This window comes from Homo sapiens, chromosome 12 (assembly GCF_000001405.40).
Source record: "Homo sapiens chromosome 12, GRCh38.p14 Primary Assembly".
NCBI classification, from domain to species: domain Eukaryota; kingdom Metazoa; phylum Chordata; class Mammalia; order Primates; family Hominidae; genus Homo; species Homo sapiens.
In genome coordinates this window covers 55,120,868-55,134,565 of record NC_000012.12, presented here as the reverse complement: position 1 = coordinate 55,134,565, position 13,698 = coordinate 55,120,868, and the positions used below count along the sequence as shown (strand labels likewise).

The following is a 13,698-nucleotide window of genomic DNA, read 5'->3' as shown; positions in this document are numbered from 1 at the left end:
TCTTCCTGTACTTTGAATTGTATCATTTTATTTTCTTCTAGTCTGCAAGGTTTTTGCTGAGAAATATACTGACAGTTTTATGAAGATTTCCTGGTAAGTGGTTAGTTGCTTTTCTTTTGCTGTTCTCAAGATTCTCTTTGTCTTCAACTTTTGAAAATTTAATTATAATGTTTATCTGTGTGGATTTCTTTAGGATCATCCTATTTGGAATCCACTGGGATTCTTGTATATAGATGTTCATTTCCCTCCCCAGAATTGGGCAGTATTCCACCACTATTTCTTTAAATAAGTTTTTTGCCTCTTCTCTTTTTTCCTTCTAGAACCTTAATAATTTATATATTATTTCACTTGATGATGTGTTTTAGGTTTTCTTTACTGTTCATTATTGTTTGTTGCTGTTACTCTTACTGAATAATTTCACATGGCCTTTCTTTGAGTTGCTGATTTTCTTCTGCTCTGTGAAGTCTGCTGTAAAACTCTAGTAAATTTTAGTTCAAGTATTGTATTCTTCAGCTCTAAAATTTTTGTTTGCTTCTTTTTATATTTTATATCTTTTTGTTGATATTCTCATTTTGTTCATGCATAGTTTTCTTTAGTCATGGAGCATCTTTATGATAGCTATTTTGAATTCTTTTTCAGATAATTTATATATCTCCAATTCTTTAGATTATATATCTCCAAATTTTTAGAACTGTCACTGAAGATTTATTTTGTTCCTATTTTGAGCCTTGTTTTTCTGTTTTTTTCTTCATGTGTCTCATATGTCTCATATGTGTCATGTGTCTCATAACTTTACATTGGAACCCACCCATTTGAAAAAACAGCCACCTCTACCAGTCTTTACAGACTGGCTTTGTATAAGAGACCCTCCCCAATCAGCCCTTCTAGAAATTCCAGGGATATGTGAAACCGTTTGGGGGAAGATGTGACTTCTCTGAGTCCATTCATGCAATTTCTCAGAGCTGATTACTCGTTTCTTTTTCAGGAGTTCATATCTTGCCTCTTTGGTGTCATTGCACAGTACTGCTAGTTCTCTAGTACTGTCTTTCCTTGGTTTCAGTGGTCACCAGGTATCCAAAGTATGCTGCTCCTTATCAGCATCCTGAGTCAGGCAAAACTGATTCCATTCCTTCAAGTAGCCTTCCCAAAAGCCTATAACCAGATGTAGACTCTGCCACTCTCCTTGCCTCTGAAGTAGAAGGCTCAAGTTATGTGGTTTTTTCTGATTCTGCCTAGCCATGCCAGCTACAGCAAACCACCTCCACTCCCACCCCATATACACACTCTCCTTGTTCTCAGAAGCCTCCAGGCACTAAAACTATACTAGTTCCATCAGTGCTCTTAGTGGAGAATGATAGAAATTAGTCCCTCCTGCAGCCCTCTGAAAAGCTACAATATTGGATTCTGCACTGTTATCTTTGTTCCCAAGGGAGAAGTCATGAGGCAGGGTGCTGTCCTAGTGCAGAGCTGTGCCAGCTTGGTAGAGTAGGTGATGTGGGCAAAATGAAATTTCTCTTCTTACCCATTTCATTGTCGCTTTCCTTGGCTTTGTGGTTGCCTGGGGGTACTGCAACTTCTTAAGTGCATTCTAGAATTCTCATAAAAGTATTTTGGTTCATTGTCAAATTAATGTTTCTGTGAGGGAATCAGGGCTAGAAATTCCTATACTGCCATCTTGCTGATATCACCTACACAGTCATTTTCTTAATTTTAAAATCCAAATATTCATTGCTGGTATGTAAAAAAGAAATTGGCATTTGTATATTAACCTTATATACAGCAACTCTGCTGTAACCACTTATTAGTTTCAGAAGGGTTTATTATTTTTAATTTTCTACATAGATATGTTATCTGCAAACAAGGAACGTTTTCTCTTCTTTTCCAATTTATAGACCTATTTGTATGAATTTGCTGGAGATCCCATAACAAAACACCACACACTGGGTTCTTAAACAACAGAAATTAATTTTCTTAGTGATAGAGGCTGGAAGCCCAAGATCAAGGTGTCAGCAGAGTTGGTTTTCTCTGAGCCCTCTTTCCTTAGCTTGCAGATGGCTGCCCTCTTGTTGATTCTTCACATGACTGATGTTCTGTGCACATGCACCCCTGGTGTCCCTCTGTGTGCCCTAATCTCCTCTTTCTATAGGGACACAAATGATACTGAATTAGGATTTATCTTACAGCCTTATTTTAACTCAATTACATCTTTGAAGACCCTATCACTAATTAAAGTCACATTCTGAAGTACTAGGGTTTAGGGCTTCAACACATGAATTTTGAGGGAATACCATTCAACCCATAACACTTTTATTTCCTTTTCTCATTTTGTTGCATTGGCTAGCACTTCCATTAAAATATTGAAAAGGTGTGGTGAGAGAAGGCATCCTTGCATTTTTCCTGATAATAGTAGGAAAGCTTCTAGTTTCTTGTCATTTAAAATGTTCACTGTAGGTTTTTCATACATGTTCATCAAGGCAAGAAAGTTCCCCCTTTATTTCAGGTTTTCTGAGAGCTCCTATACTTTTTATCTATTCAGACCATGACCATGCACACACTCAATTTCAAAAATGGGCTAACATACCATCTTTTGTACATTCTCTTCATACTAGTCAGTTAATATATTTTGGGTCTTTTACCTGCAGTTTAAAAAATCTGCCTTTGTTCATTAATATCGACATACCATTGAGCCCACATCAATATTATAAACCACTGCAGCAGGTTTCCTGACTTCAATCTAATCCCCCTTTGCGCAATGTTCCATGCAGCCCAAGAAGGGTTTCTCTGATTACCAACCACCTTCTTTCAGGCACCCCACTTTGTGATCTCTATGAGTACCTTTGGCAAAATGTCTGGATTTTGGTTTTATGCCCAAGGATTTCAGTATCTCACTAACTTTTAAACTTTCAAAAGAATGAGGTTATTTATCCCTGAGCCCACTGTAAGGCCAGAACATATTATACAGATATTCAATAAGATTAATCAAATATATACCTATATTAAGAGGCATAGATAAGTAAATTTTGGATCATAATCCGTTTTGATGACTTCCCTGATTCTATACCTTTATTAACTATTCCTTATCAATTATTAACACAAGACAAAATCATGAAGATCAAAATTGAGGGCATGATTGATCAAAATGTTTGAAGATCTCTATTTCCTATTTTAGTTCTTTGCACTGGGATTCAGCAACTAGCAGTACCTTAGAGCACTCCACAATAATGAAGTACAACATTTTCCAAATTAATGTATAAAGATTACTTATAGTTTGTTTCTTATTATTAGTACTTCCTATCTAGCACACATAAGGTGAAAACTGAATACTCATTTAGCATGCTAATGAAACTAGCTATAAAATTAAAGACATATTTTATTTAAAAATAATCTGGGCATCTTTGTCAACTACCCATGATTGTGTGTAGGAGGGATGGGCAATCCCAAAGACAAACACCAGATAAAATCTTGCTGAAGCACTATAACAAAATACAAAATATTGTTCTACATTATGCCACAAGAATCAATAGATATAAATTCTGTGAAATAAAATGTTGAAGACCAGTGAGAGGGTTTATCATGAAAATACTTCTCTAATGTCCAGGATATCTCCAATATCCAAGATTTTCAGAATTAATGATGTCTTGGGAGGTAAAAAAGTAAAATATGGAAAGAGCACATCACATGAAAACATCTAAGAGTATTTTTATGACATTCGGGAGAGTAACTTTTATTAATGAACACAGGTGTATTAAATAAATAGCCACAATAAAATTGGTGAAAGAGAAATAATAATCAAAGAATAATATTTTTCTTCTCTAGAAATTTTTTTAGAGCCTCTTGGACATCTTTGTTCCTCAGAGAGTAAATCAAAGGATTCAACATGGGAGTGACTAGGGAGTAACATAAGGATGCCACTTTACTCAGCTCAGGAAATCTGTCAGGAGTGAGATACATAAAAAAGACAGCACCATACAGCACACTCACAACTCCCAGGTGAGAGCTGCAGGTGGAGAAGGCCTTCTTATGTCCCTCAGTAGAATGTATCTTTAGAACTGTGGACACAATATACATGTAAGATACTATAATGACTATGATAGTAGGCAAGATAATAATACATGATAAGGAAAAAGATATCATTCTATGGATAAAGAGATCAGAACAAGACAGTCTCTGAAGTGGGCGAGAATCACAGTAAAAGTGGTCAACAGCCCGAGAAGCGCAAAAAGATAAAGTAAATGTCATGCTAGTCTGAATAACTGAGCTAATGCAGCCACAAAAATAGGAACCAGCCACCAACTGAGTACACAGACGTGTGGACATTTGAACAGAGTAGAGCAGAGGGTTGCAGATGGCAATAAAGCGGTCATAAGCCATGGCCGCCAGGAGAAATCCCTCAGTCACAATGAGGAGGGCAAAGAGAAAGAGCTGGGCCACACAGCCTGCAAAGGAGATAGACTTGTTTTCAGACCAGAAGTTGATCATAGCCTTGGGTTCAATAACAGATGAATAGAAAAGATCAATGAAGGAGAGATTGCCTAGGAAAAAATACATTGGTGTGTTCAGCCGAGGATCAGTCATAATAATGGTCATCATCCCAACATTCCCTAGAAGGATCATGGCATAAACAAACAAAAATAGCAGGAAGAGGAGAATGTGGAGCTCTGGGCGTACCCTGAAGCCTGCAAGAATGAAGTCAGTCATTTCTGAGTGATTGCTTGTTCCCCTGTCACCCATGGTAGAAACCTGTTGAGAGGCACAGGGCAAAATATACAAATGAACTCTTGGTTTGGATCCTAGCATTACAAATAATCTCTTATGGTATTAGGATTTACAAAGCTATTTTTAAATTAATGTTATTATTAATTTTTGCCTCATAAGTATACTGTGACTTAAAGCCAATCAATTGCTGTTGAAACCAAAGATTAGTTGCATTTCTTATTTCTTTAAGTGTTAGAGTTAGGTTTTTTGCCTCTGCATCTAATACAATGCCTTTCTACCCAAATGCCTTTCACATTTCCAAGTATCACTTCTTTATACATTTCCCACTCATGATTCACACAATAACTTCAACATCATGAAGCAGTGACTGGAAGAGAGCACAATTAATTTTAAAAACGACTTTGGGAAGCACATTAGTTAGTTTGGGTTGGGAGATATTTGGGGTTTTAGTAGCCAAGTTTAGGAAAACAGAGACTTAATTTGGAGTACCAACAAATATAAAGGAAGTGACTGAGTTAAAAAAAAAAACCTACTTGAGAAGTGCAATTACCTTTCACAAGTCATGGAAACTGGATTCTGATGGAAGTTATGTACCCACTAAGATAAAAGGTGTGTGCAACCAAGCACAAAATTATTACTACTCATATTCAAGAATTTCTGTCCCAGATGGGCCATCAAAGCACTTTCATAAAGAAAACTTCCCTTCATTTCTTGATCCCAAGACTTGGAGATCTTTAACTTCTAAGTTCAGGGGTGCAAGTGCACGTTTGTCACATAGGTAAACTTGTGTCATGGGGTTTTGCTGTACAGATCATTTAATCACCAGGGTATTAAGCCTAGTACCCATTAGTTATTTTTCCTGATCCTCTCCCTCCTCCCACCTTCCACCCTGCAAAAGGCTCCAGTGTGTGTTTTTCCCCTCTATGTGTCCATGTGACTTGCAGTTCTTTAAAAAGAGATCTACAGTAGAACTCTTCCACAGATAAAAGAGTTACTTTAGGAATTAATACTGCAAAGGATACATATGGGGGCATTGCTGATTACACTTTTATTTGCCCTGAATACAACTTTTGTAGCCATTATTAACTCATTACTGCTCAAATAGATTTTTTAACTTCGTATGTTAACAATACAAGCCACTCTTTCTCTGTCCTAAGGGCTTTATGTGCATGATTCTGTCTAGGCAACAATAATAACAAATATGTATATGGCACTTTTTATGTGCCAGACACTTTTCTAAATGCTTTCATAGTAGCTCATTTAATCCATTCAATAATAACATTAGGTGGTTATTATTATATTCCCAAGTTTACAGATGAGTAAATTGAGGTACAGAGAAATGAAGTCTGCTGAAATTCACTTACTTGAGTCAGAATCAAGATTTGAAGCCAGGAAAACTGGCTCCAGAATCCATGCTTTTAATCATCATTAATGATTAATCACTGTACTATATCAACTTTAAATAAAGGACCCTTCCTGTTCCCCTACCTTACTTCTGCTTGTACTTTAGAGTGTAGTTAAAATTTCATATTTCCAAATAAAATCTCTAATTCTTCAACCTGGGTCAAAACATCTCATCCAAAGATAATTTGAAGAGACCAACTGCCACCATATTTTAATATTGAGGTTACATATTAATTATTCTTCACTTGACAATAACTTAAGACAAAATTCAATTTGTTCTCCATATATTGTCAGCATAACGTTATGTGTCTGGTAAATGGCAGTTAATACATATTTACTATAGATAAAAGTTGAATGATAATGATCATGCAGAAACAGAGAAAAATATAAAAACTATCCATCCAATACTGCAGTGGTTAGTATGGGTTTTAGGTTTAAATAAATCTAGGCTCCAGTTCTGCTTCTCTCACTTTCTAAATGGGATCTTGGACAAGTTACTTATGCTCTCTCTCTATGCTACTGTATTCTCATATATAAAGTGGAAATAAGAGTCCTCAAAGTTTTCTTGGGAATAGAAAATGACATACGTATGTAAATCACTTAGCACCATTTATGGTAAACTAAGTATTCAGTAAATGTTAGCCATTATTTTTATTATACGTTTCAGTGCTCAGTCCCACTATTCATACCAAATAGTGCTTATTAGGTTGAAAACCAATAATATATATGGTCGTTTTTGGACAAAACATTCTCAGTTGAGGGGAAGAATCAATCTGTTAAAAGTTTAGAGAGATGAAGAACTCTTGGAGAAATGGAATATTTTGCCTGAGAAAAAAGATTATTAAGAGAAAAGCTGAATAAGATGTTATCATTATTTAAGACTGTATTAAATGTTGAAAATAAAATATTCACCCATTTTATCAAAAATTAAATATGTAAGTAATTAAGAAGTAGTAAGAGCTTACATTAGATTGCACTTAGGGTCTGGAAAGATGTGAGACATTTAAGAAGTGAAAGAAAGCTGACTGAAGTCAGCATGAAAAATCATTTTTTGAAAAATAATATATATAATTTATCTTCATTTTATTCTCATCTAGAAGCAAAACAGATTATTTTAATTTCTAAGATTTATTTCTATCAAACTCATTTCAACATTAGAATTTAATATTATTATTAATAGTAATTATTCCTCACTTGACAATAATATCCTTAACATCAAACTCAGCTTGTTTGCTGCGTATTGTCAACATAATGTTCTGAATCTAGTGAATGACAATAATTCAATACATATTATTACGTAGAAAAAAGCTGAATGATAATGAGTATGTGGAATCAGAGAATATAAAAAAACAAACTTATTAAAATAAATTTATATCATAAATGTTATAAACATTGTAACATTATAAATGTTAATAAATGCATTGCTGATGACATTTTTTACCTGGAAAAGGGAGTTATTCCCGCAGAAGCCAACAACAAGTAGTCAGTTTGTGACTTATTTTTCAAAAACTTACAGGTTTTAAGTTACTTTTACCTTGTATTGTTTAGTAACTGGTCAGATTCTGGTAAAAATCAATCAGCAGAGTTCCAATGTTTTCCTCTGTTTATTGTTTTAATTCTAGAAAGGATAAACATAAAGTTAATTAATGACTGTCATAATTATAAATACTGAAAAATAATTACTTTGAAATAAAATGAATCATTCCCCACAAATCCACATTTATTATTACAGTTTTAGATTCTTCCCATAGATAAATGTGGCTTATGTGCCTCATTGCTCTATTTTAAAAAGTCTTTTTTTCAGTAGTTGATTTCCTGAAAAGTTTTATAGTCCTTTTTAGAAGAGAGTCAAGGTGAATTTTTCAAATCATGTTCTGCCAAAACTGAAGTGATTCCAGGAACAAAAATCTATAGATAAGCAAAGTGAACCTGAGGAATCAATCCACAAGATATTATCTATCCTGAATTCTCAGAAACTTGTATGCTTTCAAGGCAAGAGGATAGATTGCCATGGATATGCAAGTAGAGGTCCTGAGCTCTTTGGCATCTCTGAATACTGCCAAAATATCAACAGCAGTTATCCACGAGGGCTTCGGTTTTGCTACAGCTTTTTCATATAATTACAGTATTGAGATTTCCTCTATGTTCTGGGAGACAGTACCTCTGGGAGAGAAGAACACAAGTCAATTAATTAGTAAGACTTCTAGGATCTAAAAGCAAGATCCATGAAGACCTCAGAGATTCTATATTTTTTTAAAAAGCCTAAGAGTACTTAAAGTACATATGAGACATTCTTTAGGAAAAATCACAAGGATCTTTTAATTTTAATTTCTTCACTGAAAAAGCAGCATTTTCAATTTATCATTATAGCACAGTTTTTGATAAGCAAGTAGAAATAGATACGAAAGGAAATGTTGTGGTTCATAATGCCATTTGTAGGAAAATTTTGAGTCCTAATCATAAAGTTAATTTCATATTTACTTTCAGAATTCTATTCACCCAAATCTCTCCTTGATGACTTTTTAAACTATATTTTCTCAATAGTAATTGAGAAGAAAGATAGAACAGCACGACCATGATATGGGCAAAAATCCAACAAACGCCCTCTAATCCATCAAGTAAAGGCCACATGATTAACTGGATCTAAAGTTGGGTTTATATTGTAATTTTAATTGCTTTAAAGTTGTTTATTCAGGTGTCATGTATTAAGTTAGTAACTTCTCATCAGTCCCTGTATATAGTTCAAAATAATTTAAAGAACTGTTGGTTCCTTCCGGTGAGTGTTAAAGTTCTTAAAGGTGGTGTGTCCGGAGTTTGTTCCTTCAGATATTTAGATGTGTCCAGAGTTTCTTCCTTCTGGTGGGTTTGTGGTCTCACTGACTTCAAAAGTGAGTTACAGCTCTTAAAATCTCTTAAAGGTGGCATGTCTGGAGTTGTTCGTTCCTCCCGGTGGGTTTGTGGTCTCGCTGACTTGGAACCAACCCAAATGTCCAACAATGATAGACTGGATTAAGAAAATGTGGCACATATACACCATGGGATACTATGCAGTCATAAAAAAGGATGAGTTCATGTCCTTTGTTGGGACACGGATGAAGCTGGAAACCATCAGTCTCAGCAAACTATGGCAAGGACAGAAAACCAAACACCGCACGTTCTCACTCATAGGTGGGAATTGAACAACTACAACACTTGGACACAGGGTGGGGAACATCAGACACCGGGGCCTGTCCTGAGGTGGCGGGGGGGGACAGATAGCATTAGGAGATATACCTAATGTAAATGATGAGTTAATGGGTGTAGCACACCAACATGGCACATGTATACATATGTAACACACCTGCACGTTGCGCACATGTACCCTAGAACTTAAAGTCTAATAATAATTAAAAAACAAAAACAAAAAAAGAAAAGAAAAAAAACAAAAAGGAGTGAAGCTTCAGACCTTTGCAATGAGTGTTACAGCTCATAAAGGTGGCACCTCCAGAGCTGTTCTTTCTTCGGGTGGGTTTGTAGTCTGGCTTGCTTCAGGAGTGAAGCTGCAGACCTTGGTGGTGAATTTTACAGCTCATAAGGGCAGCAGGGCCCCAAAGAGTGAGCAGCAGCAAGATTTGTTGCTAAGCTGAAAAACAAAGCTTCCACAGGGTGGAAGGGGAATCTAGTGGGTTGCTTTTATCCCCTTATTTGTCCTCACCCACGTCCTGCTGATTGGTCCATTTTACAGAGCACCGATTGGTCCATTTTTCAGAGTGCTGATTGGTCCGTTTTTACAGAGTGCTGATTGGTGCATTTACAAACCTTTACCTAGACACAGAGTGCTGATTGGTGTGTTTACAATCCTTTAGCTAAACAGAAAAGCTCTCCAAGTCCCCACCCCACCCAGAAGCCCAGCCAGCTTCACCTCTCAGTTGGTTCAGCAAAATGAATGTAAATTCAGTAAGGAGACTGAATTTAGAGCTCATTTTATCAATTGTTGTGTTCCCCTAGTAAAATTATCTCTCCGTTAAGCAGTAAGAATATTCATTCAGCAGGGACAAATGTCATGCAAGCATCCAGCAAAAAAAAATTGAGAGTGAGTTGATAGGTTTTACAGTGGTGGCTGACAATCCCATTTTGACTCCTTGTACTTGGACCTGTAATTGTTTCATATATTTGTCGCTAATGAAGAGCACAGATTATATCCTGGATGACAGTTACTCACCTTTCTAAAGTAATGACATCCAGTTGGTCCAACAACTGAATCTTTAATAAATTATTCCGGTCGCTGCCGCCGATGCTACCACCGCATTTGGATGTAGAATTTGGAATCCCTGTGCACCTGTTAACAAGGAAGCAGAGTTTGAACTGCCAACTTTCCTCAGCAAGCTGTGGACTCTTGTGGAGGAAACCCACACTAAGGAATTCATCACCTGGAACCAGAATGGCCAAAGTTTTCTGGTCTTGGATGAGCAACGATTTGCAAAAGAAATTCTTCCCAAATATTTCAAGCACAATAACATGGCAAGCTTTGTGAGGCAACTGAATATGTATGATTTCCGTAAAGCAGTACATATCGACTCTGAAATTGTAAAGCAGGAAAGAGATGGTCCTGTAGAATTTCAGCATCCTTACTTCAAACAAGGACAGGATGACTTGTTGGAGAACATTAAAAGGAAGGTTTCATCTTCAAAACCAGAATAAAAAAAAATTCTTCAGGAAGAATTTAAAAAAAATTATAAGTAGTGCTCAGAAGGTTTCAATAAAACAGGAAACTATTGAGTACAGGATTTCTGAATTAAAAAGTGAGAATGAGTCCCTTTGGAAGGAGATGTCAGAATTATGAGCAAAGCATGCACAACAGGAACAAGTTATTCAAAAGATTGTCCAGTTTACTGTTGCATTGGTTCAAAATAACCAACTTGTGAGTTTAAAATGTAAAAGTCCTCTACTTTAAACACCAATGGAGCCCAAAAGAATCTGTTTCAGCACATAGTCAGAGAACCTACTGATAATCACCATCATAAAGTTCCACACAGTAGGACTGAAGGTTTAAAGCCAAGGGAGATGATTTCAGATGACATCATTATTTACAATGTTACTGATGATAATGCAAATGAAGAAAATATCCCAGTTATTCCAGAAACTGGGAAACTGGGATATTATATCATATCCATATATCATATATGTATATGTGTATATATATCTCTCCAGGATGTTATGTCTGATCCCTCCAATTGTAGCCAGTACCCTGATATTGTCGTCTTTGAAGATGACAATGAAGATGAGTATGCACCTGCCATTCAGAGTGGAGAGCAGAGTGAACCAGCCAGAGAATCCCTAAGTTCAGGCAGTGATGGCAGCAACCCTCTCATGTCTAGTGCTGTCCAGCTAAATGGCTCATCCAGTCTGACCTCAGAAGATCCAGTGACCATGATGGATTCCATTTTGAATGATAACATCAATCTTTTGGGAAAGGTTGAGTTGTTGGATTATCTTGACAGTACTGATTGCAGTTTAGACGACTTCCAAGCCATGCTGTCAGGAAGACAATTTAGCATAGACCCAGGTCTCCTGGTTGACTCTGAGAAAAAAGGATTAGAAACTACCAAGAACAATGTAGTTCAGTCAGTTTGGGAAGAGGGAAGAAAATCTAAATCCAGGCCACATTAGCAGCTTATCCAGTACATGCCTTTCCACTTCTTGCATTCCTCGATGGGAACCCTGTTTCTTCGGTTGAACAGGTGAGTACAACAGCATCATCAGAAGTTATGTCCTCTGTAGATAAATCCATAGAAGTTGATCAAGTGAAATTTATCCCAGAGTGCAAACACACAAACACAAATCTATAAATATGGTATACTATATTAACATAATGAAGAACATAAACCATATGATCATCTCAATAGATGCAGAAAAAAAAATTCGACAAAATCAAACATCTTTTAATAATATAATAAAAACTCTCAAAAAAACATGTGGAGAAGAAATATACCTATACCTCAACACAATAAAGGCCATACATGATAAGCTTACATGCACACACACACACACACACACACACACACATCTGCATTGCTGATATGGTTTGGCTCTGTGTCCCCACTCAAATCTCATCTCAAATTGTAATCCTTGTGTGTTGAGGGAGGGAAGTGGTGGGAGTGATTGGATCATGGGGTGGTTTCCCCCATGCTGTTCTTGTGATAGTGAGTGACTTCTCACAAGATCTGATGGTTTAAAAGTCTGTGGCAGTTTCCCCCTCACTATCTCTCTCTCATGCCGCGGTGTGAAGAAGGTACTTGCTTCCCCTTCACCTTCTGCCATGATTGTAAGTTTCCTTATGCCTCTCCAACCATACAGAACTGTGAGTAAATTAAACCTCTTTCTTTATAAATTACCCAATCTCAGGTATATCTTTATAGCAGTGTGAGGATAGACTAATACAATTGCCTACTGGTGACATTTATTAATAGGCTTTTTTATTAATAGGCTAGTTATCAAACTTCTGTAAGTGGTAACACTATGTTTTCTACTTTCTCATATAATATTTTTAATATAGTGCTTCATAATTAACCCCGGGTTTCCCCTTTTTTCTATATTTTCACTACTACACTGATAATCCAGATTCGGTACCTACTCAACTCAACTTGAACGTTATTTTTTAAAAATCCTATCTGATTTACTTTTTCTCCTCAGCATTTACTTTTTAAGCTTCCAGATTTATCTTTCTCAAACACTATTTTAATCATGTCACTTCTTTCTTAAGAGATTTTGTTACTTCCCAATTTCCTATTTAGCAAATTGGGATTTCTATTACTCTCCAAATTGTAATCTCTGTGAAACCAGATGAGATGTCTCACTGCATCCATTCATCTTGCACAGTATAGGCTTAACACGTTGATTTTAATTATACCTGATACATTCTCTTTGAATCTAGTTCTAAATCCTACCAATATTTAAGATTCCATTCGTATCTCCCCAGAATTACCACTGTCTTGCTACAGTAGCCAAACTTGGCATCACTTCTCCATACTCTTTTTAAATATTATTATAGTTATCCCTATATATGATAGTATCTATTTATGATTTGATTATTTAATGAATGTCATTTTACATTTACAATTGAATTTTCAGCTCCTTACAATGCAATGCATTACTTGCAAGATTCAGTAACACTTATCATAATTTCGAGTGCAGCATAAGTGCTCATTCATTTTTAATTTATTGAATTCATTTATAGTTCATTTGTGATGGTTAATATTGAGTGTCAACATGATCGGATTGAAGGATGCAAAGTATTGTTCCTGGGTGTGTCTGTGAGGGTGTTGCCAAAGGAGATTAACAGTTGAGTCAGTGGACTGGGAGAGGCAGACCCATCCTCAATCTGGTGGGCACCATCTATTCAGCTGCCAGCGAAGTGAAGCTAGGATAAAAGCAGGCAGAGGAACATGGAAGGACTAGACCGGCTAAGTCTTCTGGCCCCCATCTTTCTCCTGTGCTGGATGCTTCCTGCCCTCGAATATTGGATTCCAAGTTCTTCAGCTTTTTGACTCCTGAACCTACACCAGTGGTTTGCCAAGCGCTCTCAGGCCTTTGGCCACA

At 36.3% G+C, this 13,698-nt stretch overlaps 1 protein-coding gene and 1 pseudogene across 1 annotated transcript; one reads left to right on the top strand and one right to left on the bottom strand.

Moving 5' to 3' along the window:
- Window positions 1-1,815: 1,815 nt before the first annotated feature.
- On the bottom strand, window positions 1,816-8,160 carry OR9K2 (olfactory receptor family 9 subfamily K member 2). The gene is made up of 3 exons (NM_001005243.2): window positions 8,050-8,160; window positions 7,655-7,738; window positions 1,816-4,740 (listed from the first exon to the last, which is right to left on the bottom strand). The coding sequence occupies exon 3, from the start codon at window positions 4,729-4,731 to the stop codon at window positions 3,790-3,792; it is 942 nt and encodes a 313-aa protein (NP_001005243.2). The 5' UTR covers window positions 4,732-4,740; window positions 7,655-7,738; window positions 8,050-8,160; the 3' UTR covers window positions 1,816-3,789.
- Window positions 10,381-11,126, top strand: LOC644383 (heat shock transcription factor 2 pseudogene; annotated as a pseudogene).

Excerpts from the sequence above, each read along its gene's own strand:
- OR9K2 (NM_001005243.2), bottom strand. The coding sequence starts at position 4,731 with ATGGGTGACAGGGGAACAAGCAATCACTCAGAAATGACTGACTTCATT.